Source organism: Homo sapiens, chromosome 1 (assembly GCF_000001405.40).
Source record: "Homo sapiens chromosome 1, GRCh38.p14 Primary Assembly".
NCBI lineage: Eukaryota > Metazoa > Chordata > Mammalia > Primates > Hominidae > Homo > Homo sapiens.
The window spans coordinates 25,884,046-25,910,995 of NC_000001.11; the positions used below are offsets into that span (position 1 = coordinate 25,884,046).

At 47.9% G+C, this 26,950-nt stretch overlaps 1 protein-coding gene, 1 long non-coding RNA gene, 1 other non-coding gene and 2 pseudogenes across 6 annotated transcripts, besides 12 other annotated features; 3 read left to right on the forward strand and 2 right to left on the reverse strand.

Annotated features, from left to right (window-relative positions):
- Positions 1–133: 133 nt before the first annotated feature.
- On the reverse strand, positions 134–22,835 carry STMN1 (stathmin 1). 4 transcript variants are annotated; one of them, NM_001145454.3, is made up of 5 exons: positions 22,344–22,374; positions 20,619–20,693; positions 19,596–19,768; positions 17,446–17,637; positions 134–1,824 (listed from the first exon to the last, which is right to left on the reverse strand). In NM_001145454.3, the coding sequence occupies exons 2-5, from the start codon at positions 20,629–20,631 to the stop codon at positions 1,678–1,680; spliced, it is 525 nt and encodes a 174-aa protein (NP_001138926.1). In that variant the 5' UTR covers positions 20,632–20,693; positions 22,344–22,374; the 3' UTR covers positions 134–1,677. The 4 variants fall into 4 exon arrangements, with proteins under 4 accessions (NP_001138926.1, NP_981944.1, NP_005554.1 ...); NM_203399.2 differs by lacking the exons at positions 134–1,824; positions 22,344–22,374 and adding exons at positions 16,071–17,042; positions 22,743–22,835; NM_005563.4 differs by lacking the exon at positions 134–1,824 and adding an exon at positions 16,071–17,042.
- Positions 3,285–3,657, forward strand: SNRPFP2 (small nuclear ribonucleoprotein polypeptide F pseudogene 2; annotated as a pseudogene).
- On the forward strand, positions 4,872–5,259 carry RPL39P7 (ribosomal protein L39 pseudogene 7; annotated as a pseudogene).
- Positions 5,866–7,065: an enhancer, noted in NCBI's record as "P300/CBP strongly-dependent group 1 enhancer chr1:26216402-26217601 (GRCh37/hg19 assembly coordinates)". NCBI's record gives its function as "activates an origin of replication core promoter dependent on BRD2, BRD4, P300/CBP, MED14 and CDK7 cofactors, with strong dependence on P300/CBP, by STARR-seq in HCT116 cells {active_cell/tissue: HCT116}" and the evidence as "EXISTENCE:reporter gene assay evidence [ECO:0000049][PMID:35650434]".
- Positions 5,866–7,076: a biological region, named in NCBI's record as "P300/CBP strongly-dependent group 1 enhancer GRCh37_chr1:26216402-26217601".
- Positions 6,253–6,547: a silencer, noted in NCBI's record as "tiled region #12616; K562 Repressive DNase matched - State 5:Enh". NCBI's record gives its function as "represses a minimal TATA promoter and a strong SV40 promoter by Sharpr-MPRA in K562 cells {active_cell/tissue: K562}" and the evidence as "EXISTENCE:reporter gene assay evidence [ECO:0000049][PMID:27701403]".
- Positions 6,573–7,076: an enhancer, noted in NCBI's record as "H3K27ac hESC enhancer chr1:26217109-26217612 (GRCh37/hg19 assembly coordinates)". NCBI's record gives its function as "activates a minimal SCP1, AML or CMV promoter by ChIP-STARR-seq in naive H9 embryonic stem cells {active_cell/tissue: H9 hESC(naive)}" and the evidence as "EXISTENCE:reporter gene assay evidence [ECO:0000049][PMID:30033119]".
- Positions 7,077–7,580: an enhancer, noted in NCBI's record as "H3K27ac-H3K4me1 hESC enhancer chr1:26217613-26218116 (GRCh37/hg19 assembly coordinates)". NCBI's record gives its function as "activates a minimal SCP1, AML or CMV promoter by ChIP-STARR-seq in naive H9 embryonic stem cells {active_cell/tissue: H9 hESC(naive)}" and the evidence as "EXISTENCE:reporter gene assay evidence [ECO:0000049][PMID:30033119]".
- Positions 11,373–11,667: an enhancer, noted in NCBI's record as "tiled region #13744; K562 Activating DNase matched - State 25:Art, and HepG2 Activating DNase unmatched - State 12:CtcfO". NCBI's record gives its function as "activates a minimal TATA promoter and a strong SV40 promoter by Sharpr-MPRA in K562 cells, with weaker activation in HepG2 cells {active_cell/tissue: HepG2 | K562}" and the evidence as "EXISTENCE:reporter gene assay evidence [ECO:0000049][PMID:27701403]".
- Positions 11,586–11,635: an enhancer, noted in NCBI's record as "active region_471". NCBI's record gives its function as "activates an Ori minimal core promoter by ATAC-STARR-seq in GM12878 lymphoblastoid cells {active_cell/tissue: GM12878}" and the evidence as "EXISTENCE:reporter gene assay evidence [ECO:0000049][PMID:35858748]".
- Positions 21,313–21,607: a silencer, noted in NCBI's record as "tiled region #5934; HepG2 Repressive DNase unmatched - State 1:Tss, and K562 Repressive non-DNase unmatched - State 1:Tss". NCBI's record gives its function as "represses a minimal TATA promoter and a strong SV40 promoter by Sharpr-MPRA in HepG2 and K562 cells {active_cell/tissue: HepG2 | K562}" and the evidence as "EXISTENCE:reporter gene assay evidence [ECO:0000049][PMID:27701403]".
- Positions 21,313–21,806: a biological region, named in NCBI's record as "Sharpr-MPRA regulatory region 5934".
- Positions 21,387–21,806: a silencer, noted in NCBI's record as "silent region_467". NCBI's record gives its function as "represses an Ori minimal core promoter by ATAC-STARR-seq in GM12878 lymphoblastoid cells {active_cell/tissue: GM12878}" and the evidence as "EXISTENCE:reporter gene assay evidence [ECO:0000049][PMID:35858748]".
- Positions 22,197–22,286: a silencer, noted in NCBI's record as "silent region_468". NCBI's record gives its function as "represses an Ori minimal core promoter by ATAC-STARR-seq in GM12878 lymphoblastoid cells {active_cell/tissue: GM12878}" and the evidence as "EXISTENCE:reporter gene assay evidence [ECO:0000049][PMID:35858748]".
- Positions 22,307–22,616: a silencer, noted in NCBI's record as "silent region_469". NCBI's record gives its function as "represses an Ori minimal core promoter by ATAC-STARR-seq in GM12878 lymphoblastoid cells {active_cell/tissue: GM12878}" and the evidence as "EXISTENCE:reporter gene assay evidence [ECO:0000049][PMID:35858748]".
- Positions 22,317–22,409, reverse strand: MIR3917 (microRNA 3917). The gene has a single exon (NR_037481.1). It is a non-coding gene; the product is annotated as a microRNA 3917 (primary transcript).
- On the forward strand, positions 22,505–24,198 carry LOC105376885 (uncharacterized). The gene is made up of 2 exons (XR_947102.1): positions 22,505–22,601; positions 22,991–24,198. It is a non-coding gene; the product is annotated as an uncharacterized LOC105376885 (long non-coding RNA).
- Positions 24,199–26,950: the final 2,752 nt, after the last annotated feature.

The window sequence follows — 26,950 nt, forward strand, 5'->3', positions numbered from 1 at the left end:
CCTGCAGCCTGGGCGACGAAGCGAGACCCCGTCTCTAACAAATAAATAAATAAATAAATAAAGATAACATAGCATCTCATTACCAGGAAATGGAAAAAATAATAATATAAAAATTGACATGGCAACTGACATCTTCAAACTACAAATTTTTAAACTTTTATTTTCTCCCTATACAGAAGAGATCATTTTTCCGACTTCACTGCCTGACTTCCTGAGGCTGCCCAGAGTTTGTTGCAGGCTCTGGGCTCAGGGTATGTTCAATTTTCCTGCTTGGAACTGAGAGAAGAACTCAGGTCTTCTTACAGACTGCCAAAGTCCGGCAGGGCTCTTTTAGAACAGTCATTTCACAGCTAGAGAAACGGAGACCCAGGCCGGGCGCAGTGGCTCATGCCTGTAATCCCAGCACTTTGGGAGGCTGAGGTGGGTGAATCACGAGGTCAGGAGATCGAGACCATCTTGGCTAATGCGGTGAAACCCCGTCTCTACTAAAAATACAAAAAATAAGCCGGGCGTGGTGGTGGGCGCCTGTAGTCCCAGCTACTCGGGAGGCTGAGGCAGTAGAATGGCGTGAACTCAGAAGGTGGGGCTTGCAGTGAGCCGAGATCACGCCACTGCCCTCCAGCCTGGGCGACAGAGTGAGACTCTGCCTCAAAAAAAAAAAAAAAAAAAAAAGAGAGAGAGAAATGGAGACCCAGAGAAATAAAGGGCCTTGCCAAGGCTGCACAGGCATTTGGCAGCAATTTCATCAGCATCCAGCACACATGGGCTTCGTAATACAATCACCAAGGGAGCCAGTTCTTGAACACAGCCCCTTGATTTTTCTTGCCAGAGCCCCTTGAACTCCTCTGGAGACTCCTGCCCTCTGCTTGAGATGCTCCTGTAGCTTTTCTTGCTCAGGTGAGAAATAAAATGTGATCCTAAAATCCCTTTGGTATCTACAGGAGGAGGTTGTGAAGTCTGTAAGTGGTTGTATTCCAGCTTCATTATTTCCCCACCATGCTGGTTCCCCAGGGCTGGTGCCATGAAGGAGGAAGAGATCAGAGAATCTATGCGGAGAAGGTCTTCTTCTTCCAGTGTGGTTGTAGTTGGCATTGCTGCCTCTGGGTACCAAAGGTACCCAAATGTTGATTCTGTCTTTGTTGGGCGCTTCTTTGGCTTCCCAGGAAAACTCCCACCAGGGACCTTGCCCTGCATTCCCCAGGAAGGGTGGTGGCACTCTCTAGCTGATCCCTGTGACCCCTTCCCGTAGGCTTCTGCCACCCTCTCCATTCACCTGCCCTGGGAGGAAACTCCCTTGTGTAGGGTCCTTCTCAGAAGCCTCACAGTTGCCTTCCTTCCTAAGGTCCCACTTGCCACGCACAAAAATAGTTCCCTACCATCAAGGCAAGAGTGGTCTGCTCTCAGAGCAACTGGTCTGTGAGCTGCTGGGCCCTCTACGTTGGCAGTGTCTGTCCTTACAACAAACCACAAGGCAGGCATTTTCATTCTTGCTACCTCCTCTTCACAGATGAGTAAACTGAGGCTCAGACACAGCAAGCAGAACTGGCTGGTATTAGAATCCAAGTCTGCCTGACCCCAAAGGCTTTTTCTATCTTCCACATCAAGGATCCTCTTGGCCAGACTGTTCATCAGTCTCAAGGTCATTGCTATCATCAACAGCAAATATTTATTAAGTACCTAGTGATGGTGAGAGAGATCAGACCAGGTAATCAATGCAGATTGGAGGCCCAGGGCTGGGCAAAGGGCAGGAACAGAGTGGAGACAAGATTGCTCAGCAGAGATCTGTGCTGGGTGGGCCCCAGGCCCGTGAGTCCAGAAGTACATCTGGAAGAAAAAGAAAAATCACCAGGTCATCTGCAACCCAGAGGCCAAGGGACAGGAGGTGGAGGGGCCCTTCATCAGGGCTAAAACAGTGGTTCTCAAACTTTGCTACAAATGGAATCATCCAGGGATCTTTAAAAAATACTGACACCTGGCCCCCACCCCCAGACATTCTGATCTTGTTGGTATGGGAAGCAACCTAGGCATCTGGATTTTTAACGAGTAGGAAAGGTCAGGCAGGAACGGGGTGTGGGGAGGAGGTTTGATAGGAAGAGGTGGTGATGACCTAGGCTCTGGAAGCCTAAGGTTCTAAGGCAAGGAGGTCAGGGTACTGGGCTGGTGCAAAGTAGGCATGTGACAAATATGAATTGGAGGACAGTGGGAGGGAAGGGCAGAGGGAAGGAATGGAAGGAAAAAAAGAAAATCCAAAACTCAGGCAGTGCAGCAAGTTTGAGTCTATTCTCCATCATTAGCTTTCTATGTGACCTTGGAAAAATGGCTTCCCCTCTCTGGGCTTCATTTGGAAAAGGAGGAGGTTGGATTTGTTGATGATTAAGATCCTTCTGGCCCCAGATTTCTAGGATGCTTAGGCGGGACTCCTTAGTGGGAGACGAGTGCACCTGCATCCACAGTCCAGCCATGCTCACATGCTGCCATCTCGCCTCTCTCCACCCTCCATGTGCTGCTCCCTTTGTCTGGAACACCCCCACCACTTTTTTTTTTTTTTTTTTTTTTGGTGGGGGATGGAGTCTCACTCTGTTGCCCAGGCTGGAATGCAGTCGTGTGATCTCAGCTCACTGCAACCTCCGCCTCCCAGGTTCAAGAGATTCTCCTGCCTCAGCCTCCTGAGTAGCTGGGACTACAGATGCCTGCCACCACACCTAGCTAATATTTTTGTATTTTGAGGAGAGATGGGGTTTCACCATGGACAGGATCGTTTCGATCTCTTGAACTCGTGATCTGCCTGCCTCGGTCTCCCAAAGTGCTGGGATTACAGGCATGAGCCACCGTGCCTGGCCCCACTGCTTTTATTTATCTGCTCAACTCCTGCTTCTCATCTGGGACTCAGCTCAGGTGTCAACTCCTCCAGGCAGCCCTCGTTGACCGGTCCCCACCACCCTGTTCTGACTTGGATGCCCTTTCCTGTACCAAGGAAAGGTAGGTCCCTCTGATTATCCTACCAGACCCATTATACTGTGACACCTGTTAATTACCTGTTTCCCTCCTGGGTTGTGTGTCTTGTTCTGTGACTTGTCTATATTCCCAGCACTCAGCATAGAGAAAGCTTCTTAAAAAGTGGGATGGAGGAATGAAGGTTGCCAGGCCTTCGTTCAGGTGCCTGGACCACAGGAATGAACAAGAGACATTGTCCCTTTCCAAAGCAAGGAGAAAGGGGAAATCAGGAAGTGGTTTGTTAAACAATGACAAAAAGGGGTACAGGAAAAGGGGCCAAGAGGTTGTCCAGGAGCCTGCAGCATTTGCCCATAGTTACGGTAAGTCTACCCCTCAATCCCGAAGCTTTCCTCAGTGGGTTAACAGGAAAGCCGGTGATGCTGAAACAAAGTGGGGAATGGAGTACAAGGGCTATCTGGCATCTTAGATGGCTACATGAACATGCAGCTTGCAAATAAGAGAAATACATAGGTGGGGAGCTGTCTGGACATCTGGGTGAAGTTTTAATATGGTATAAAAATGTCCTTTATAGTAGAGGTATGGAAGAAAAGGAAGAAAATGGGGGAAGTGAGAGAACAGCATCTTTTCTGGGGGATTTTGAAAATATAGATTTCTAGACAATAAAGATGTGTTTTTTGGGGTTTTTTTGTTTTGTTTTGTTTTTTTGAGATGGAGTCTCGCTCTGTCGCCAGGCTGGACTGTAATGGCGCAATCTTGGCTCACTGTAACCTCCGCCTCCCGAGTTCAAGTGGTTCTCCTGCGTCAGCCTCCTGAGTAGCTGGGACTACAGGCATGTGCCATCATGCCTGGCTAATTTTTGTATTTTTAATAGAGACGGGGTTTCGCCATTTTGGCCAGGATGGTCTCGATCTCTTGACTTCGTGATCCACCCACCTCGGCCTCCCAAAGTGCTGGGATTACAGGCGTGAGCCACCGTGCCCGGCCCTTGTTGTTGTTGTTGTTGTTGTTTTTTAAAGAGGTTGCCCAGGGGTGGGAGGGGGGTCAGTGAATTTCTGGAGTCAGAAAGCCCTGGGTTTAAATCTAGCACAACCGCTGGTTAGCTGTGTGACTAGAGCTGCTTTCTTAACCTTCCTATAACATGGGGATAATCAGAACACCTCCGTCAGAGGTAGAACACAGCACAGTGCTTGGCTCCTAGAAAACACTGAAGAAACATGTTGACTATTTTGATTTGCTAACATCACGAGTGGGTGAGGAGGGCTGTGGGAATAGACATGCCATGCCCGACCACCATCACCTGTTCACACCTCATACCCCACCACCCTTGGGATTAAATGAAATGCAATTGCCCATAAGTCAGGCTGGCTTCTTGATTACAGCAGAATGCAAACTCCTCAAGGGTGAGAATCCTTGCTTTATTTGCTGCTAAATTCTCGGCACCTGGGATAGTGCTGGTGCATAGTAGGTCCTCAATAAATATTTCTTGAATGAATAAACGACTGAACTCTGGGTTGACTAGCTCAGTGTATGGGGTAACCTCATCCTCCTTCCCTAGACCCACGTCCCTCCTCCAAAAATCTTGAACTCAACATGACTCCATCAGCTATGACTTCATTCAGCAGCAAGCAATGAAAAGCCACAATGGGCCAGGTGTGGTGGCTCAAAAACAGTGGCTTAAACAAGTAAAATGATCAACTTGCCTAGACTGGTATGTCAGCTCAATGATATTATCAAGGACCCACGATCTATCCATCTCCCTGTCCCAGCCATCATGTGACTTTTACCCTGATGATCACAAGATGGCTGCTGTACTTCTAGGTATCACGTCTCTGTTCCAGGAAAAAGGAGGATGGGAAAAGGGCAAAAGGTACAAGGAGCCAGACAGGTGACTACTTAACAACAACAAAAACAATGGCCCCTCTCTCCCTTTCTCTGCCATCGTGGTGTGTGCTTGACTCCGCTTCTTGCCATGTCTTCTCACAAGACTTCCTGGTCAAGAAACAAAAGCAAAATCGTTCCATTCTCCAGTGGATTAGGATGAAAACTGGCAATAAAATCAGGTACAACTCCAAAAGGAGACATCGGAGGAGAACCAAGCTGGGTCTATAAGGAATTCCACATGAGATGGCACACACATTTATGCTGTCTGAAGGTCACAATCACATTACCATATCAAGCTGAAAATGTCACCGTTATCTGCAGTTAGACATGTTTTATTGGGAATACATTTTTCCTCTCTGAATCTGTTATGAATGCGTTGGTTGGCTGGGTTCAGTAATAAATATGTGAGACCTTTCATTTCAAACAACAAAAACAACAAAATAAAACACTTTTCAGGTTTCTGTTATAAGGGAGGAGAGACTCAGTCCTGGGAGAGCAGCCAGCAAGGTCTGCCATGATGGCCAAATGAAACCATTGTTCCCCTCCATCCATCCCCCCACACCTACTCCTTCTCCAGGCTTGTTTGAGTAGATGGCACCCCCCTTCACTCAGCTCCCCAAGGGAAAAGCCCAAGAGTCAGCCCTCACTGCATGCCCACATCCAGTCCAACAGCTCCTGTTATCTTCACCATGACCTAGATCCTGAATCTAACCATGACCCTCCACCTCACTGTCCAAGCCACTCTCATCTCTCTCCCTTGTGCACTCCGGCTCTCCTTACCGTCCATTCTCCTCCTGGTGGCTGAAGAATTCTTTACACATGTAATCTGATCACATCACTCCCCCCTTAAAGCCCTTCAAAACTGCATCATGCAGACTATAACCAAACCCTCGCCCTGGCCCCAGGCTACACAGCTGGACCCTGAGCACCTCCTTGTATGGGGTCCCCTTGCCCACCTCATCCAGCCAAGAGGGCCTCACTTAGGCTCCTTCCTCACACCTGCTAGTTCCTGCCATCAGGCCTTGGCACTAGCAGTTCCCTTTGCCAGGAACACACTGCACCTGCCCACAGTCATTGTCTGTTATATCACCCTTTTCATCCTCACAGCACTCATCCTAATCTCTTTTATAGTCTGTCTTCTCCCCCCAGGATGTAAACAAGGGCAGAGACCTTGTCTGCCTTGTCCATCGCTGTATCCTCAGGACCTAACACTGCCTGGTAAGTAGGAGGACTGGAGGTGTATTCATTCAATGAATACGTGGATGGAGAGGCTTGTTTCGGGTGGTCTCTTAGGGAACCTTCTAGCTCTTGAAGATCTAAAGAGAAAGCAGAAGAAGGAGCTTGGGGAAGGGGACGCAACACATGAGGTATGTCCGAAACTGGACTAACATCCCAGCCCTCTTCCCTGATTGCCCAGTGTAGGAGATCAGTCAGAGTGGTGGGAGAAACTACAGGGAAAAGGAGCAGGCCTTCTGAAAGGTCAGAGGGCTCTGCAAAGCTCCAGGAGAGAACAGCTGAAGGCAGCTGTTCCATAACCCTGAGGCAGAGGGCAAGGAGTAGGTACAAGGGAGTGTGGGGGAATTTATCTTAAACAGGCTTGTTTACTTATGTTGACCAGAAACTGACCTTTGATTATCTGCACATGAAGTTCCCTGAAAGGGGAAGAATAAATGTTAATTACCTACAGGTTGTGTTGGCTCCAGGTTTCCGGCATTGTGCCTGCACGGAATAAAAGCAAGCAGCCCCAGCTTCTCGGGGCTGCTCTCTGGCCACTAGAGCCAGGTAGTCATCTAGCTGCTGTTACACTGCATACCTGTCTGACTACTCATTTCATCCGTAGGTCGGCCAGGGTCTACGGGACACACCCAGCAGCCCAGGAGATCCTGCTAGGCGAGCGTATCCAGGGACTGAGTCAGAGACCATTTGGAAAAAACTGGAAAGAAGAGGTGAGCACAGGCACTGCCATATTGAGCCCCATGAATTCAAGCCAGAATGGGACCCCCGCCATCTGGAAAATGGCATTGAGAGAGCAAGCAGCCTGCTGGCTCTGCCTCTAATTAGCAGTGGATGAGTGACCTGACCCTCTCTGAACCTCAGTTTCCTCATCTATAAAATGGGATAAAAAAGAATAGTATTTACTTCACAAGGTTGTTTTAAGGATTCAATCGGGGCCGGGCACAGCAGCTCATGTCTGTAATCCCAGCACTTTGGGAGGCCGAGGTGGCTGGATCACCTGAGGTCAGGAGTTCAAGACCAGCCTGACCAACATGGTGAAACCCCATCTCTACTAAAAATACAAAAATTTGCCGGGCATGGTGGCAGGCACCTGTAATCCCAGCTGCAGGAGGCTAAGGCAGGATAATTGCTTGAACCCAGGAGGCAGAGGTTGCAGTGAGCCGAGATCATGCCATTGCACTCCAGCTTGGGCAACAAGAGCAAAACTCCATCTTAAAAAAAAAAAAAAAATTCAGATGGATTATGTAAAATGCCTATACAATGCACGGCAAATTGTTTAAGAGCTCAAACAACTTCAGTCATGTAAGAGAAAGAAAAGAGAGGAGGGAGAAATGATGGAGCCAGGTGACACAAAAGCAGATGTCCCAGTCCCCTGGGGGCAGCCCAGTCAGATATGCTGGGAGTTTGGACCTCCTAGAAAAGACACAGAACTTTAAGGCATCTGAACTTTAGCTTCCCCTTCTCAAAATGGACTTCTGAGTTCTTCTGGTCCAACCCCTTCGTTTTACAAACGTTCTGCATCTTGGAAAGAAAGGCCAAAGACCCAGAGAGTTGGCAGAGGCAAGTACAGAGAGGCGGCCAGTGGGGACAGGGCTGTGGAGGTGGGCCAGTGCAGCAGGCTGTGAGCCCCCTGCTCTCCTCATTCTGGGGAAGAGGATCTGCCTTCATCTGCACCCCGCCACCCCCCACCACCAACACACACAATGAGGGGGAAATGGCAGGCTGGGGAGACCCATGAAGCTGGCAGGAGGAACACTGGGCAGGGAGGGGCCAGCCCTGTGCTGGGCATTTCAGCACTGGGCTCAATACTCATGCAGCCTGCGAGGGGGTCTCTGCAGTTTACAGATGAGGGTATGGGTGCCCAAGCCCCCTGAAAAGCTCTTAGAGCCAGAACCGGAATACTATTCTGTGTGACTCTAAAAATCTCTGCCCATTCTTATGCTCACTAAAGTCTGAGAAAAATTTAAAAATTAAAATTAAAAATAAATTAGGCCAGGTGCTGTGGCTCACGCCTGTAATCCCAGCACTTCGGGAGGCCGAGGTGGGCGAATCACCTGAGGTCGAGTTCGAGACTAGCCTGGCCAACATGGCAAAACCTCGTCTCTACTAAAAATACAAAAATTAGCTGGGCATGGTGGTGGGGTGCCTGCAATCCCAGCTACTTGGGAGGCTGAGGCAGAAGAATTGCTTAAACCCAGGAGGCGGAGGTTGCAGTGAGCCGAGATTGCGCCACTGCATTCCAGCCTGGGAGACAGAGCAAGACTTTTTTTTTTTTTTTTTTTTTTAAATAAAATCTCTGCCCTGCCTCTGCCTAGGAATTAAAAGGCCTGTATTTGAGACCATCACTACTACATCACTAACTGGTTGCAAGCTTGAACCAGTTCTTTCTCTCTTACCTCAGATTCCTTCTTTAAACAGGGAGGGTAGATGCCACCACGGCTGAGCCGCTGAGCCGCTGAGGGTCCCCTCCCAGCTGGAGCTGAGATTCTTGAGATTCTAAACAACCGCCTCCCTACACTGAGTCAGAAGGAAAGCCTGCTGGGCCTCTAAACCAAACGCCCCCGGGCCTCTCATCTAGCCTTCCTGGCCCGGGCACACGGGACAGCACTACCCCAGGCTTTGCAGTGCCTGGCTGGCCTCCCTTCAAGGGTGGTGCCCATCTGCCCAGTTTTCTAGCCCGGGTGGGAGCCTGGGCCTCAGCCAACACCATTCTCTGGGACCTAACTCCACTCCGTGATTTGGGGAAAAAAGCCAAGCAATGGACTCAATTAGGAGCCTCCAAACCATCAAGGCTTCCCCACAGGTTACCATTTAGGCCAGCGCTTCTCAAGCTCAATTTAAGAAAAAAATGTTTAATCTGCTGCTAACTTAATACTTCTGTAAAATTTTAAAAATATATACTATATAATACTAGTGGTTACACAATATTGTGAAAGCACTTACTGCTACTAAATTGTACGCTCAAAAATGGCTAAAATGGTACATTTATATTATCTATATTTTACTACAATTTGTTTAAATTGAAAAAAACGAAATGAAAAAGGTGAAATTCCAGCCTCAGCTTTGTTTTAATAACATTTGACAAGACCTTGTAAAATTGTTATAAAAGTTTCTAAATGCTTACTTTCAATTTCTGTACTTATCTCGCTGCAGACCAGTAAAAGTTTGTATGCTGGCAGCAATCCCCGAGCTATACTTTGATAGCACTGATCTGAGCTGCTAAGAGGGACTCTGGCTTTACAGGGCCTCTCAGGAGACCTTCTAAGAGCACAAGGTTCCTGTACCACGACTCCCTCCAGCAGGCATTTCTGGACACCAGGCTGGTCAACCCCAAGCAGCTCAGGGCAGGCACACTGCTCTGATGTATGGCTGACACCTACTTATGCCCCAGCTGTCCCCAAGGGCCTTGTTGATGTACAGTGGTTTTTATTTATTTTTTTGAGACACAGTCTTGTTCTTGTTGACCAGGCTGGACTGCGATGGTGTGAACTCGGCTCACTGCAACCTCCGCCTCCTAGGTTCAAGCCATTCTCTTGCCTCAGCCTCCCAAGCAGCTGGGATTACAGGCACCCGCCATCACGCCTGGCTAATTTTTGTATTTTTAGCAGAGACGGGGTTTCACCATGTTGGCCAAGCCGGTCTCAAACTCCTGACCTCAGGTGATCCGCCCACCTTGGCCTCCCAAAGTGCTGGGATGACAGGTGTGAGCCACTGCGCCTGGCCAATGTGTACTGTTATTAAAGTGTCCCTGTCAGTGGCCAGGAGAATGGTGATGTCCCTGATAACCACAGGGAGTCATGGGGTGGGGTAGCCTGGATTGGGGAGGTAAAAAGTAGAGAGGTGACTTCTTTGCTTCTATTCCCTAAACCAAACTTGACCCAAGCATTATCTCCTACAGGAATTCATCCTGGGCCTGCATCCTGAGGAGCCCCTATCTGTGTCCCACAGCAGAGGAGAGCACAGGTCTCCCTGTATTTGTATTGAATGGGTAACATGGTAAATTAGGAAGTGGTGCCTGTTCCTGGGAAGATGAGGGAATGTACTGTGTGCCTTGGTTGTAGGGTATGACTGGATTTCAGGCCCCACATCTCCTCAGTGGGATCTCCTGTGCAGGGTACAGTCTGCACACTGTGAGCAGGGGCTGTGATGGGTGCAGCTGCAGGCCCATCTCCACCAGGCTGTTGGGGACTGGAGAGATGGCAATGGTGTTTAGATGTTGCATCCTGAGGGGTCTCTGCCTAGGTGAGCAACAGAAACGCTGGCTTAAAAAAAAAAATCTAGGCCAGACACGATGGCCCATGCCTGTAATCGCAGCACTCTGGGAAGTTGAGGCTGGTGGATTGCTTGAGCTCAGGAGTTCGAGACCGGCCTGGGCAACATGGTGAAATCTTGTCTCTACAAAAAATACGAAAATTAGCCGGCCATTGTGGCATGCACCTATAGTCCAAGCTACTCTGGAAATTGAGGTTGGAGGATTGCTTGAGCCAAGGATGTTGAGGCTGCAGTGAGCTGTGTTTGCACCACTGCACTCCGGCCTGGGTGACAAAGAGAGAGACCCTGTCTGAAAAAAATTCTAGACACTGGGGCTCCAATTTTATTTTTTTATTTACTTTCATTTTTTAATTATTTAGAGACAGAATCTTGCTATGTCTCTAAATAAATAAGGCTGGTCTCTAACTCCTGGCCTCAAGTGATCCTCCCTCCTCGGCCTCCCAAAGTGCTGGGATTACAGGTGTGTACCACCACACCCAGCAACAGGCTGGCTCCAATTTTAGAAATTCTACCTCCAAAGGTCTGAGGGTCCTGAGTCTCATATTTTGAAAAAGTACCATGTGATCCTGATACCCAGCTGGTGTCTGGCCCATAGAGGTGCCAGCAAGTGTTTGGTGACTGGGCTTAGAGGTACAGTACATCTCTGGAAGGAGACACGGGAGACAGCTAGGTGACCTGGGAGGGAGGGAGATTCACTTTTATTATACGTCTTTTTTTTTTTTTTTTTTTTTGAGACACAGTATCGCTCTGTTGCCCAGACTGGAGTGCGGTGGCGTGATCTATGCTCACTGCAACCTCTACCTCCCGGGTTCATACCATTCTCCTGCCTCAGCCTCCCGAGTAGCTGGGACTACAGGCACCCGCCACCACGCCCGGCTAATCTTGTTTTTGTATTTTTAGTAGAGACGGGGTTTCACCGTGTTAGCCAGGATGGTCTCAATTTCCTGACCTCGTGATCTGCCCGCCTCGGTCTCCCAAAGTGCTGGGATTACAGGCTATTACACGTCCTTTTATACTGACTGGACTTTTGATCTAAAAAACAGTTTGGCTGACTTGGAGTGATGGAGTTACTAGTCTCTGTGTCAGGGACTGCAAATGCTGGGCCTCCAGCAGGGGCAGGGCGGATCCAGCGAAAGACAGAAGTGGGTGGGCCCAAGGGGATGGAGAGCTGCAGAACACAAGTCCCGCCTCAAGGGGGCAGCAACTGCCCAGAGTCCGCTGACGGCCGCTGGGTGGGACTGCAAGCCCAGGGTTGCCAGATCTGTCAGCTTTTTTCAAGATAAGCTTGAAATCAGATTTTCACATGGAATTGTCAGCTAATTCAACAATTTAAAACACAGCATGGGCTGAATGCAACATGCCTATGGTTCAACATTGGCTGCAGGCCACCAGTTTGTGCGTTCGGATCCAGGAGGATTCCATTAAGGATTGTGCACCTCAGAGCCATCTGCAAAGCTGGTGCAGACCCTTCATTTGCTTCTAGAAAATCGGGTTTACTCCACATGGGGTCCGCAAAGGATGAGGACAAAGCCAGTGCCCTGAGGTAGACCGTGGGAGTCACCCACCCACTCATCATTATTTAATCCAGCACATTAACCTCCCACCACGAGCCAGGAGATCCAGTGGTGAATGTGACAGGAGGAGTCCCTGTTTTCAGGGACCCTGTGTTCTAGCTGGGGAGACACTTGAATTAATGAGTAACACTTGTGATACATGAGGAGTTGCAGTACAGCATGGGGGTTAAAAGTCTGGGTTTGAGTCCTGACTCTACTGCTTGCTAGTTGTCATTTTAGGTAAATCCCCTAATCTAGGTCCAGTTGCCTTACTTCTCGCCTATGGAATGGCCATGATAACCTCATAGGGCTGTTCTGGGGATTCACTGAGACAATGCAAATAATTATTAGTTGCTGCTATTAAATAGAGAGCTGTGAGAGCAGGGAAGAGGGGAGGCTAGGCTTAGCATGGGGACTTCCCCATCCCAGTGAATACTGGGGCTTTCTGCCAGTGAGGGGAGCAGGAGGCCACAGGGATTGGAAGCTCCAGGCCCAGGAGAGGCTCAGTCCTTTTCTGCTGAGATGGCTGCTATGAGGTAGCTGGCTCATTTCCTGTCTGTTTTTTCTTCCTATGGATCCAATTTCAGCAGCCTACTTGTCTCAGTAGGATATGGTGCCCAAGGACTGGGCAGGTACTGCTCTGCTCTTGGCCACGATGGAAGCAGGCCAGGCCTTTCTAACTATGAACCAGAGCCCTTCCATGAAGCTGCTGCATTTTGGAGCTCATCAAACCCTACAACTAAGTTTTAAAAATCTAAGTGCATGTACGAAACAAGTCAGAAACCCTTTCCTACGCCCTTAAGTACAGAATACCAGCTTCTGCTGGCAGAGGCCTCAGCCACAGGGACATTTTGGACCTTCGTTTCACCTGGGCAAAAAGGGAGGAGGCAAGTGTCAAGAGACTTGGCTCACCAGCAATGTGTCTGGGTCCTTGGAGTTCAGCTCTGTGTCTATGACATGGTCTCTGATCTCAGGTGGTCTGCAATCCAACCCTGTAGAGAATCAGTCTTGGATTTGGAAGGGAACTTCTAGGGCATCTAAGTCCAACCTCCATCCAAAGGGGGAAGCTTTTCTATAAGAAACTTGGCCTTGCCAGGCGCGGTGGCTCATGCCTGTAATGCCAGCACTTTGGGAGGCTGAGGCAGGCAGATCATGAGGTCAAGAGTTCAAGACCAGCCTGGCCAACGTGGTGAAACCCTGTCTCTACTAAGAATACAAAAATTAGCCAGGCACGGTGGTGCACGCCTGTAATCCCAGCTACTTGGGAGGCTGAGGCAGGAGAATCGCTTGAACTGGGGAGGCGGAGGTTGCAGTGAGCCAAGATCGTGCCACTGCACTCCAGCCTGGGCAACAGAGCAAGACTGTCTCGAAAAAAAAAAAAAAAGAAAAGAAAAAATTTGGCCTTTATCTTCTGTATTCCTAAATGAACCACATTTAACAGTGATTCAAACAAATGAATTCGCAGTAAGGTAGCCAAACTGTCATCTGGGTGCACAGGTTTACCGGGACAGCTAAAACATCACTGAAAATCAGAATTCTCCACTGGGAGAATGATACAGAGTAGACAGGAGCACCTTTATAAAGGTGCTGGGGGTGGGGGATGAGACCTCACTCCAAGGCATGCAAGGATAAGAGGCCCTGCCTTTTTAAGGAGGTGGGAACGGCTGAATAGTAGGGCTTTCATTTGCTGAGACTTGTGAGCAGGTCTGAGGCAGAGGGGAATTGTTCCGGGCAACGAGGGGATGCTGAGCTGTCAGAGCAGCCCCCCTTCCTGTGCAGGGCTTAGAGCAGATCTGCCTGGGTAAGCTTCTCCTACTAGCTTAGGACCTTGGGTACGTTACTCTGCCTGTTCACTTCTCTATGGTGGAGAAAATGAACACGATGCCTGGACGTTAAGTGCTCAGTAAATAGTAGCACTGCCATTTTCCCAAGTGGAGTGATTTCTTTCTCCTCCAGCTTCCCAAGTTTAGAGCACATGTCCCAGTTCCTCAGTGCAGTGTCAGTCACATGGATTGCTCCAGAGCCCAGCAGGCCCTCCCACCTCATCCCTGTGCTGCCCCAACAGCCACCATGGCCACCGTAGCCTGAACGGCAGCCACTCTCCAGTCAACTCACCCTGCCTCCACTTTCTCTTCCTTAAAATGGTTTTGTTACTGACCACTGCAGCCCCCCACATTCAAAAGCCTTCAAAGAGCCTCCACTGCTTAGAATAAAAAAATGGGGAGGGGGCCTGCCTGGAGGGCCTGCCAAAGGCCATTAACTATGGCAGGTTCTCTGTGCACGTGGCAATCACAGGCTTACTAAGTGTTTAACAATTAAGTGCTTTATTGGGGTTTGGCTTGGAAGGTTCATCTGACTTCCAAAAGGACAAGCTCATGTCCTTTCTCCTCTCAAAGCTTCCCAGACCACAAAGCCCTCTGTGGTCACTCCTTTCACCAAAGCACTAAAGCACCCTGGTGAGTACAAGTATGTGGTCGAGAGCCTCACCCTCAGGTAAGTAAGCATTCTACAGCTCTCCTTCCCCTCACATGGGCACGTGATATGCTGGTCCCACCCCATCTTTTCTCCATCCCTAGCGCAAAGGCCAGTGTGGAGCACAATCTAGGTGCTTGTCAAATGTTAATTTAAGGGCCTCCTTCACGTCCTTCAAACCTCTCTCCACTGAGCCCAGTCAACCATAAGGCCCAAGTACAAAATCCTCAGGAAGGGACAAGCCTCATTTTCCATTCAAGACAAAAGGAATGGAGTCTGCTCCTTGGTGACAGCCCCAACTGCTTGTCAAACCACTCTGGCCTTATTAGGCCAATCTATTGGAAGTACTGCTGGGAGAGGCTGGCCCCACTGGGACAGACGCAGACTCCCGTGATGGCAGAGAATGCCGGGCCCGGGAATGCATACCCAGAGACACTTCCCCAGAAGCTCGTAGGTGCCACCGCTCCTCCTCTTCACTCCAAGCCAGATGCAAAGAATGGGGGAGTGAAAGTTACTTAACTGATCTCCCCCAACCATCTCATTTTATCCAGGAGAAAATGGGGGCCCAGGACTAAGTGCTTCTCCAAAGGTCAAGGTGAAATAGAAAAGCCAGAGCTTCTATTTCTGTGGTAAGATGCATCCCCTTCAGTTTCCTGTGACTTAAGCCTGTCACAAGGCAGGGGCTCAGGATCGCCCTCTGATAGGAAGTCAGGGCCACCATGGGATGGGTGGTAACTGATGAGGCATCCTTTCAGGCCTGTTGATCCTTCCCTTGCTTTCTCCTGAGGCCAGTTTCCCTCCCTAAATGTCTTAGATGAACAAAAGCTCACTGCCACTTGTAGGACACCTCGTATCATTATGCCAAGTTTCTACCCTCAGGCCCTCTTTATATTCCCATCTATTCAGAACTGGTATTTTAAAGATCCCAGAGCACCTGCTATGTGCCAGAGACAGGAGCCAAGATGAACTGTGCTGCACCACTGCACACAAGCCTCATCCTGTCCTCTTGGTTTAGATATTGCTCAGAACCTATTGTTGTATTCAACTATACTTGCACTTGCTCCTATTTGCCCTACATGGGCGTAACTCCTTAAACCAAGCTTTGTTCAGAATTCCTCTGATTGATCATTTAAGTAAATTTAAAAGTCAATTTAAGGAATATAAAAACTGCATAATTTCCAACTCAAGAGTATAAACTTAGATCACTCATTAGCCTCTGGTTGAAAACAGTAATCGTGATTTATACGGAATGCTAAATATCTATGTTCTAAGTGTGCTCTCTTGCCACAAACCCATTTAATCCTAACAATCTTAGGAGGTAAGTTGAGGTAGGCTGTTATTGTTCTCATGAATAAGTTTGGTAAAACCCCAATCTCAAGATACAGCCCAAGCAGCAGAGGCACATGCGTTAGCAACACATGGACCCCACCGCAGTATTAGCAATCATCTTTTGCTATAAGTGCTTGGCTTCCAAGAGCTTTTATACAGATGTCTGAGAGGCACAAAATATGTATAATTAGGCTATTTCTCAAATAGCACAGGAAAGCTGCCAAAGGCGTTCCCTGAATTGAGAGGCAAAGCACTGACAATGGGGACTATTACAGCCTCTGGATACAAGATGACGTATCTGCCAACCTTAACCACCCGAGTCAAATGCTACTTTAGAAATAATTAAGGTTCCCTTTAGTCATTTCACAGGAGTTGCTACAGCAGTACATAAAGTTTTATTAATATTCTGATTCTCGTGTCATAGCTTTTATGGCAGGAAAGGATGAGGACATGCCCCACCTGTAACGTAGAGCAAGCAAACCACCAAGTAGAATCTTGAGATTCTCTCTCAACTGTTCTCTAGAAACACGCTTGTGCTTTTAATCTGCCTTTTAAAAGGGACACAGAACAAAAAATGGTTGTTTGCAAATAAACATCTGAAAGAAAGTAACAGCTGACCTGGGCTGAGGCATCCAAACAAAGCAGTCATTGTGGAAGGAGACAATGCAAACCACACTGGGGCAAGAAACGGGGCAGAGAACGTGCGGTCATTTGTGCGTTGGGTATTTCTACCAGCCCCAAAGGCCCCATCTGGAACAAGTATCAACCAGGAGGGGCTCTATGGCTTGATTTATTAACCTAACTCAAAAGAAGTCACTGCCACCAACAGCACTGTGCAGTTTTATTAACCATTCAAGTCCAGTAGCATCTGGTAAGATTGGGACAGAATTGGGATTGAAAAGTGAACAGATATTCAGCATCTAACAGTTCAAAAGAAGCCACTACATACTCTTTTCACAAATATGTTTTCACAGAGCCAATACAGTACTAGCCATTAACCCAGTACACCAAGTGTACTGAAGTAGAAAAGATGCAACAAGAAAAATAGCTACATTAGAAAGACCAACACTTTAGAAAAAGAGTAAAACACTTTCAGTTTCTCCCCTTTAGCCCCTAAAACAACATCTTACAGTCTGGATCTGGATCTACCTATACAGTCCTACATTAGCTTCTAAAATATTTGTCAGGAGGGAAAAAATAAAATGACACTGGCCAGTACAGTCTTTGGATATTTAGGAAGGGGATGGGGAGAAAGTCAGTTCTCAGAACAAATTAGTCAGCTTCAGTCTCGTCAGCAGGGTCTTTGGATTCTTTGTTCTTCCGCACTTCTTCAATGTGCTTATCCTGTAAAGGAAGGGTAAGGTGTCATCAGTCAAAAAAAAAAAAAAAAAAAAAAGCCTGTCAAGTCACGACCCCCAGCCCCCACCTCAAAGAGGCCCAACACAACCTCAGTGCATATATTACAGCCTGTGGGAACCACACAATTTAAGTTCTGAGACATCATCATCAAATCTCCTGGGTCCCTTGTAGAACCTAACAAGCTGCCTACTGGACTTCCAAGGACTGTGCAATTATGCTGGGAATTACTGAATATTCCATCTTAAAATATACCTTTCATTTAATATGTTAAGCCCCAAAATGGATGACAAAAAGACACCAAACACCTTTTATCAAAGCACTTAGTTCAAGCCAACTCATTGGTGCATCAAACTCCAAGCTCAACCCTTTTACAAAGTAAGAAACCAACCTTCTCTCGCAAACGTTCCAGTTTGGCAGCCATTTGTGCCTCTCGGTTCTCTTTATTAGCTTCCATTTTGTGGGTCAGTTTCTCTTCTGCCATTTTACTGAAGTTGTTGTTCTCTTCTATTGCCTTCTGAAGCACTTCTTTCTCGTGCTCTCGTTTCTCAGCCAGCTGCTTCAAGACCTCAGCTTCATGGGACTGGAAAAAAAAGTTTAATAGGCTAGGCACTCTAAAATGTATTCAGGCTGGGTGTGGTGGCTCACGCCTGTAATCCCAGCACTTTGGGAGGCCAAGGTGGGTGGATCATTTGAGGTCAGGAGTTCAAGACCAGCCTGGCCAACATGGTGAAATCCTACCTATACTAAAAATACAAAAATTAGCCGGGCGTGGTGGCGGGTGCCTGTAGTCTAAGTTACTTGGGAGGCTGAGGCAGAAGAATTGCTTGAACCCGGGAGGTGGAGGTTGCAGTGAACTGAGATCGTGCCACTGCACTCCACCCTGGGTGACAGAGACTCTGCCTCAAAAAATAAAATGTATTCAGCATAAGTTAAAATTACAATAAAAATAATTTACTAAGGGGATTGAAAAGGGGCAGAAAATAAGGTCCCTTTAAATAACACCAAAATTAGGACCTGAATTATCCCTATCATAAAATACTGTGAAAATGATATTCTTTTTCTAGTATTTGTATTTAACTTTGGAAAAGTGCTTATCTGTTCAGAAATCTTACCCAATTAGTCCTTAAGGAAATCCTTGTAAGATTTACTGCTTAATGGTATCTGGATGACTTGAGGAATATGTACTTGCGAGTGGCACTTTTATTGTAAAGAATTTCACTATTTAACTTCAAAAGCTACCCAAAGAAAACTAGCTCATTGTAAAAATTTTAACCATAACTGATAAAACAATGATAGGAAATTCAAGACTAAGTCTGTAGATTACTATTTAAGACAGAAAAATTTGTTTCAAGGAAAAGGCTTATTAGCTTTTGTCTCAGGAAACTGCATTAATTACCAGACCATACCTTGGTATGACCCCTTCAACAGAACAGCTTGTTCTCAAAACACATTGGAACCACTGACTTGCAGGATAACCACAGAGCATCTGACACTGGTTCTATTGATTCTCTTCTGCCAAATCCTAGTCATGATGGGAGTTTCATTATATTTAGCCAGTTACTATGTAAAGCACAGGCTAATGACTACAGGGCCAGGGTTGATGTCTAAAAAGCTTTCCACTGTCCAACCTTTGGTTGTATTGCTTCCTCCTACTCCATGAACTCACACTATTGCATAGAAGACGACTCCTTAGTGTAAGCACTGAGGCTCTTCGGGCGGGTGTGTGTGTATACTACAAATCACTATGCTGGTCTGGGGAAGGTTATTACCTTACCTTTTGTGCCTCACTTGCCCCAGCTTTAAAATCAATCCTATCAGGGTTGTTGAGAAAGGGAGTTAAATGAAAAGTTATGTACAGTTGTTAATGAGTAACATTGAATGGAAAGAAACACACCAAAATGTTAACACTGGTTGCTTCTCGGAAGCGGGATAATGAATACTTTTAATTTCCATTTATAAATTTCTGTATTTCCCAAATTTTCTACAACTAGCATATTAATATTTATTGATTCTTCTGATTAGCTTTTAAAGATAGTTACTTTATAATAGAATTGTTTAGATAAGAGAAAAGCTACCATGATACCAGCTGAGCAACACAATCACACTAGCAATTTAAAATGTTATTGTACAGCTCTCAAAAAACAAAACCAAAGTGCCAAAGAATCATCTGGCAACAAATCTTTTCAAAGAGGAAGCATGAGAGAAGCATGAGCTTTGGTTTAAGATAGACCAGGGCTTGAATTCTGACCCCAACACTTACTAGTTGTATGACTGCAGAAAAACGACTTAACATTCCTGAAACTGTTTCTAATTTCCATTATTTGAGGCAACACCATGTATTAAAGGAGAAAAATATAAACAAAGGAGCGGGCATGTAACAGGAGTTCAATAAATGAGGACTGGTATTTCCTTCCAGTCACTGGCATATGTAATAATCACAGTGTAGCTACAATTCTGTTTTCTTCCTGTTATAGAAATAAAATTGATCTGCCCATTACATAAATTAATATCCTGCTTTCTGTGAATTGCTTCGTTTACCTTGCGTCTTTCTTCTGCAGCTTCTAATTTCTTCTGAATTTCCTCCAGGGAAAGATCCTTCTTCTTTGGAGGGGAAAGGGGGAATTCTGGAACAGATTCTTTTGACCGAGGGCTGAGAATCAGCTCAAAAGCCTGGCCTGAGGCACGCTTCTCCAGTTCTTTCACCTGGATATCTAGAATTGATTATATTTATAATTCAGAAAACCAGGATTCTCCTGTTCTAATAAACTGTACTATAATTTTCTAAAACCCAAATCAATTTAATGTATTAAACTAGGGCTGATGAGGAAAGTTGTGTTTTTTTTCCCCTTTTTATTCCTATCAGTCTACTGACACTAGGGGAAGATGTATTTGCAGGCAAGATATTATTATCTAAATACCATTTCCCAAGGCCAGGTACCATGGCTCATGCCTATAATCCCAGCACCGTGGGAGGCCAACATGGGAAGATCCCTTGAGCCCTGAAGTTTGAGACCAGCCTGGGCAACAAAGGGAAAGCCCATCTCTACAAAAAAAATTTTTTTTGATTAGGTGGGTGTGGTGGCCCATGTCGATAGTCCCAGATGCTATGGAGGCTGAGGTGGGAGAATCGCTTGAGCCCACTTGAGCTCCAGAAGTCAAGGCTGCAATGAGCTATAATTAAGCCACTGCACTCCAGCCTGGGCAACAAGGTGAGACCCTGTCTCAAAAAAAATAAAAACCATCTCCCAGAAAAACAAAGCTCAACATTTTTGGATTAATAAATACTGTTTTGAGACATCAGTATCTGACAATCGCTTTCATAAACAAAAGACTTGTGCAAACTCCACAATTTTGCTTCAGACTAAGCCAAACTGTCCAATAAACAATTACGAGCTCTCGGCACATTCAAGTGATAATCATTTTTAAATTCTTCTCCTATTCATAAAATAGGTTTTGGTAAGACCAAAACATAAGTGCCAAATCAAAGGCGAAGACCTGAGCCATCTCAATCTAAAATCATAAGCCCATTACAATTTCAGATTTTCCAAATAGATTACCTACCAGAAGAAGCCATGGTGAATAGAAGACAAGCGACAGGCAGTGTATTCTGCACAATCAACTGGGATAAGGAAAGTCCTGAAAATGATTTTCAAAAACATGCAATCACTTTCTTTGCCTTTCTATATGTCATCAACCCAAAAAAATCTCACATCACATCTACATACATCGTCAGAAAAATACGTGGAATAAAGACGTCTAAATTAACCACGAAAAAAATTATCAAAATCTACTAAATAAACATTGGGAAATATGACCTGAATATGATATTGGTTCCAGAAAATCAAGTTAACTGAGCTTTCTCGGTCATAAAACTCTTGGATTTTTAAAATCAGACAAAGTCACAAGGGTGAAGAATTTTTCCCCCATAAACTCTTTAACATTTCACCGAAACTGTAAGAAGATATTCCAGATTCAACTCAACAGTGCCCCCGGAGCCATCTTAATACTGCCTACAACTCATTGTGCAAATGAAATACCCACCCCTGCTTTGTCTGTGTCTGACGTGGTGGATAAGAAAACGCCCAAGCTAATAGTAACCAATAATGTTGAACTCCTATTGTCCCTCAGGTTTAAGCTTCCTTGCCCAACAGCAAGCAAAATGTTTATGAACCTCTAGATTTTGACTTATATTTGCTGCCGTTATGTCATGAAAAATGCTGTATCTCTTGTTGATCTTTTTAACATTATGACTTTTGTAGACGCCAGCTAGTACCAAAAACGTAGGATGACAGGTTCCCAAAAGCTAGGAATTAAAATCAGAGGCAGCGACAAGATTTAAGAAAAGCAGAGAATTAGACGCAGCACCGGACCCAGGATGGGCGTGGCCCTGGTCCGGGCGAGGAAAAGAGGACCGGTCGCCCCCGGCCAATCAGAGCACGCCTTGCGCTCCGGCCCCTGGCCCCGCCCCCTTCCTCCCCGCGCCTTTTCGAATCTCCCCGAACTCAACACCCCGGAGCCCGCGCGCGTGGGAAGGGGAGGGGTGGGCGGGGCTAACGGTCCAATCCGGGTAACTCCGCCCCTGCCTGACTCCCCCTGCGCGGACGCCCCCCCCAACTCCCGCCAAAAACACCTCCAGGCCGCCGCCACCACCCCCTTCACAGTTCAGCGGGTGGGGCAGGCCCCGGGAACAGGCCCCCGGGTGGTCCCGCGGTGAGCTCGCCACCGCCTCCCGCCGTCCCCATGCCCAACCTGCCGCCACCCACGCTGTCCGCGCGTCCGGCCGCGAAGACAGAAGAACCCTCGTGGGGCCCGGGAGCGCCGCCCCTCAATCACCAGCTGCGGTCGCCAGGGGACGGTCGCAGGGAGGGTCGCGGCCCTGGCTGCCCGCAGTTTGGTCCTAAAGCCGCTGGTCCCTGGGGCACCGCCCCGTCCCTTCAGACAATGGGGAACCCGGCGGGGCCCGCAGGGAAGGGAGGGAGGGAGGGAGGTAAACGAGGGCCCACGCCCCCTATTGTCTCCTCGACGGCACCCCGGAGCGGACGCCCGGTGATCGCCCAGCCCCCTGCCCACGAACAGCCGCGCCCCCGGAGAGCGGGGACAAAGGCGAGGCTCCGCCCGAGCCACACACAAAGCGGAGCGACCCCCGCCCACCAACCCCTCCGAGGCCCGCAGCCCCGCCCGCCGCCCTGCAGCAGGGGGTCGCTGCCACGGCCCAGCCCCTCCCGCCGACCGCGTCCCTCTTGCTGGCCTCAGCCAGCCGCCGCCTCCTCCGAGCCCCGCACCCACCTGCTCAGTCCGAGCCGCCTGACCACACTCTGAGCACCAACAGACCCGGGCGCGCACAAAAGCGCCAAACAGAGGCACGTGACCTCCGCGCGGGGCTCCGCATTGGCCGAGAGCGGCGGCACGTGCCGCCCCCGCCCCCCACAACCCGCGTGGAGCGCCGCCCCCCGGGACCCCGAAGCACCTCGGGAAGTGTAGTCCTGTCCCGGAGGGCAGGAGGACAATGCCGGGGGTTGCAGGGCGCCTGGGGAGCATCCCCAGGTGTGGGCCTGGGACTAGGGGGGTGGTCTCGCCGTGGAAGAGGGCGTGGCAGTGGACCCCGGACTAGGTCCGAACCAGCTCCCCATTCTCGAGAACAAGGGCAGGGCGGAGCAGGCGGAGGGCGGGGGGGTCCTTCCCTACCTTTCCAAACTTTGGCCGCCTGGACTCCACCTTGTAGAGCCACATGCCCGCCTCGCCCCAAGGGCAGCACTCGGACAGAGCAGTGCCCCTTCTAGTGCGCCACCCACATGGGTGCCTAAGACGCCCGAGCCCCTGTGACAGCACAATGCCACTCCACGCCCCTGCAGGGCCCCCTGCCCCCGGCACCCTACACCGACACCGGCGTGTCACCCATATTGTGACATCATCGTAATTTCTAATCCACTCAGCCCACAGGTCGCGGGCGTGGCCCTTCCCTCACTGTGTGCGTTCTTGCCAGCATCCTCAGGTTCCCGAGCCGGTGACCAGGGACCTGTGCGGGAAAGCGTGGGGCTCTGGAATTTGATCGCCTTTGGTCTAACAAAGCCACTCAGCTTAAATGCAGACTCCATCTGTTCTTCCAAGCCTTCTGCGGATGATAGGGGAGGAAGAGCAATAGCCGTTCTAGACTACACAGATTGCAGTTAAGTGTTGCTTTTGTTCTCAGAGCACGTGCTCCCCAGAGCAGCACTGGGTTCTTTTTAAAAATCGAAAAAGGAGCCACAAGGTCACTGTTCTCCCTGACCTGGATAGCTCAGAACCTCAGCAAAGGCACAAAGGAAATTGGTCTGACCGTGCCTTAGAATAACTGGCCCTTTCTCTCACAAAAAGGGGAAAAAAATAAATGAAATGAACATGGTCCCCGCCTCCTCCCATTCTCTGACCAAGACCGTGTCCTCGGTTGGTGGTCAATACACCAAGACACCTGCTTTGAGATCTTGACTAAGCAGAAGAGATATCTTTATTTTATTAATGAGCTGCATCTCCCCAAATCAAGAAACAAATGTGACCAACCTTCCTGAAACAACAGTCCTAATTTAGAAAGACTCTCATGCCTAGTTAGTCACCAGGGATGTGCCAGAGATAAAATACAACTAAGGGGTGCCCAAGACAATAAAAACTGGATCATACAAGCAGCAGCACACTACACAAAGCAAACAATTAGCAATGCGCTGTTGCCTGAAATATGCTTGTTGCGGCATTTTTTCCAACAATCGCCCTTGTGTGGGGTCGGCCTCCCCCCCAAGCCAATCGAAGTGGTTTTCACTTAGCCTGTGAGCAGGACCAGGAATAATTCAGATACTGAGCCTTGAAAGGCTTCTTCTCAGACCAAACTTAGCTTCAAAATGGCTAGGTGCTTCCGTCTGTCATTTTTCTGAACAGAATCTCAGACATCATTAGAAAAGTTGGAGAAGGATGGGCATGAGACCCCTCAGGAAAGCGACAGATAGGCAGGCAACACAAATGAGCAAGGAACCCAAGCCCAAGAGGTCCTTACCCACTGAACAGGCTTTTTATCTTGAAGTCTTTGTATTTGATCTGGAGGTTCACAGAGGAAGGTCCCACTCATTTAATGCATTTTTTTAAGTACAATAAATTGCCACACAAAAGTCTCACATTCCTGACTATTAATGTTGTGACAGAAAAAAGAAATAAATCTTTCAAAACACTGATAATTTGAAAGCACTTACACTGCTTCCCCCCACATTTTCTTTCTCCCTAGAGCAGATGTCTATTTCCATGGAAACCATAGCAAGGAACGTAGATGTTAGAACTCATGTTCATTTTTAATCTTTTTTAGCAATGCCACTTGGCTTCTGGGTTTGTTGGGAGATGCCTGGTTCTGCCAGTCTGTGACAATGTTCCAAGCTCCTCACAGCTGCTTGAGGACTGAGAGGGCTGGGTTAAAGTTTCCCCTAGAATGAGCCTTTGAATAAAAAGGTGCTTTTGAGGTGGGATTCCTGTCCTTTTATTATTATTATTATTATTATTATTATTATTATTATTATTATTATTATTTGACTTAAAAAAAATTGAGACAGGGTCTCACTATGTTGCCCAGGTTGGCCTCGAACTCCTGGGTTCAAGCAATCCTCTTGTCTCAGCCTCCCAAAGTGCTGGGATTACAGGCATGAGCCACCACACCCAGTCTGATCCTTGTTCTTTAGGGTGGGGCTGCCTTCCCAAGAGCCAGATCACAGCTCATTATTGTCAGCTTTTGTGGGTGTCCTATATAAGCCTTGGAATAGGAAGGGCTTTCAACTGTAAGGAGAGACAACAGTTTTGCCACTTCACCTTGGAGAGGGGCAGAATCGCCCTTCTCGAAAGCTTCCTAAAACGAACTTCAAGATCCACTCTCTTCTGAAGTGGCAGCAAGGAGTTAATGTTCACATCTTGGAACTGTCTATCTTTGCCCATAAGAATTATTTTTGCTTCTGCTCAGATGGTTTGGTTGGATTGTTATGGAGCTGGCTGTGACTATGGAGCCACACAACGAAGTGGAGATAGGGCAGTCATCCAGCTTATTTGATCTGTGTAGACAGCTAAAGGAGAGCACTTCAGGCTTCAAAGTCTAGAAGGAATGTCTACACTGATCAAACGGCGGGCCAGGCCGTTGTCAGATCTCCTCTCCTGCCAGAGAGCCCGGCAGCCTTTGTTCATTGTTGGGCTTGAGGCTGCAGGGTTTGTCTCCCACATGGCGCCTCCAAGTTCCACAGCTGCTTTCGAGGCCTGTCCTCGGCCAAAGGGTGTCGTGGGAGAGGTTTGCTTGTTGTCCCCGGTCTCTCTGTTCCCTTTGTCTCCTAATCCTCAAGCACTATGCTCTAACACTCCCTTCTCTATTCAAAACCTGTCTATGAGTCTGCTGTTTTACACATCGATCTCCCTCACTAGACCATTAGGTCCTAGAGGGCAGGGTGCTGTCTTTGTCTTGGTATCCCTAGTGCAGTGCCCATCCTCAGGCCTGGCCCAGGATGATGGCGCCTGAATGTTTGCAGAGAACTTTGGGAAAGAACAACCTCTTGGCCGGGCACGCTGGCTCACACCTCTAATCCCAGCACTTTGGGAGGCTGAGGCAGGCGGATCACAAGGTCAGGAGATCGAGACCATCCTGGCTAACACGATGAAACCCCGTCTCTACTAAAAATACAAAAAATTAGCCAGGCATGGTGGCGGGCGCCTGTAGTCCCAGCTACGCACGAGGCTGAGGCAGGAGAATGGCATGAACCTGGGAGGTGGAGGTTGCAGTGAGCCGAGTTCACGCCACTGCCTTCCAGCCTGGGCGACACAGCAAGACTCCGTCTCACAAAAAAAAAAAAAAAGAACAACCTCTCTCATCCTTCTGTGATCTTCTGTCTCTTCTGTGATATTAGACACTTGCACTCTGGGAGTGGTGAGGATTAAATGAAATAATGTAAATGAAAACAGCACAATGCCTGGCACATTTAAAGTGCTGTGCACTTGTTAGGTATCATTGCTAGAGATGTTTCCTGATTGCTATAGATTATTTTATTTTTATTTTTTGAGACGGAGTTTTGCTTTTGTTGCCCAGGCTGCAGTGCAGTGGTGCAATCTCAGCTCACTGCAACCTCCGCCTCCCAGGTTCAAGCGATTCTCCCGCCTCAGCCTCCTGAGTAGCTGGGATTACAGGTGTGCGCCACCATGCCCAGCTAATTTTTTGTATTTTTAGTAGAGATGGGGTTTCATCACGTTGATCAGGCTGGTCTCAAACTCCTGACCTCAGGTGATCCACCTGCCTCGGCCTCCCAAAGTGCAGGGATTACAGGCGTGAGCCGCGGTGCCTGGCCTGCTATAGGTTATTGAATGAGTGAATGACTATTAGACTTTCACCCTTTGATGGAAATTGTAGTTACTGGGTTAACTCTTCCCATGGGGTTAAATTCAATTCATTTAACACTTTATTTTTTATTTTTATTTTTATTTTTATTTTTTTGAGCAACAAGGCTGTTTATTTCACCTGGATGCAGGCGGGCTGAGTCCGAAAAGAGAGTCAGCAAAGGGTGGTGGGATTATCATTGGTTCTTATAGGTTTTGGGATAGGCAGTAGAGTTAAGAGCAATGTTTTGGGGGCAGGGGATGGATCTCACAAAGTACATTCTCAAGGGTGGGGAGAATTACAAAGAAACTTCTTAAGGGTGGGTGACATTATAAAGAACCTTCTTAAGGGTGGGGGAGATTACAAAGTACATTGATCAGTTAAGGTGGGGCAGAAACAAATCACAATGGTGGAATGTCATCAGTTAAGGCTATTTTCACTTCTGTGGATCTTCAGTTGCTTCAGGCCATCTTGATATATACGTGCAGGTCACTGGGGATATGATGGCTTAGCTTGGGCTCAGAGGCCTGACATT

What these genes read in the sequence shown, in the direction of transcription:
- STMN1 (NM_001145454.3), bottom strand. An exon ending in CTGCAGAAGAAAGACGCAAG is followed by an intron (nt 17,638 to 19,595) that starts GTAAACGAAGCA and finishes TTTTTTTTCCAG; the next exon opens with TCCCATGAAGCTGAGGTCTT. An exon ending in TGGAACGTTTGCGAGAGAAG is followed by an intron (nt 1,825 to 17,445) that starts GTTGGTTTCTTA and finishes TTTTTCTTCCAG; the next exon opens with ATGTACTTCTGGACTCACGG.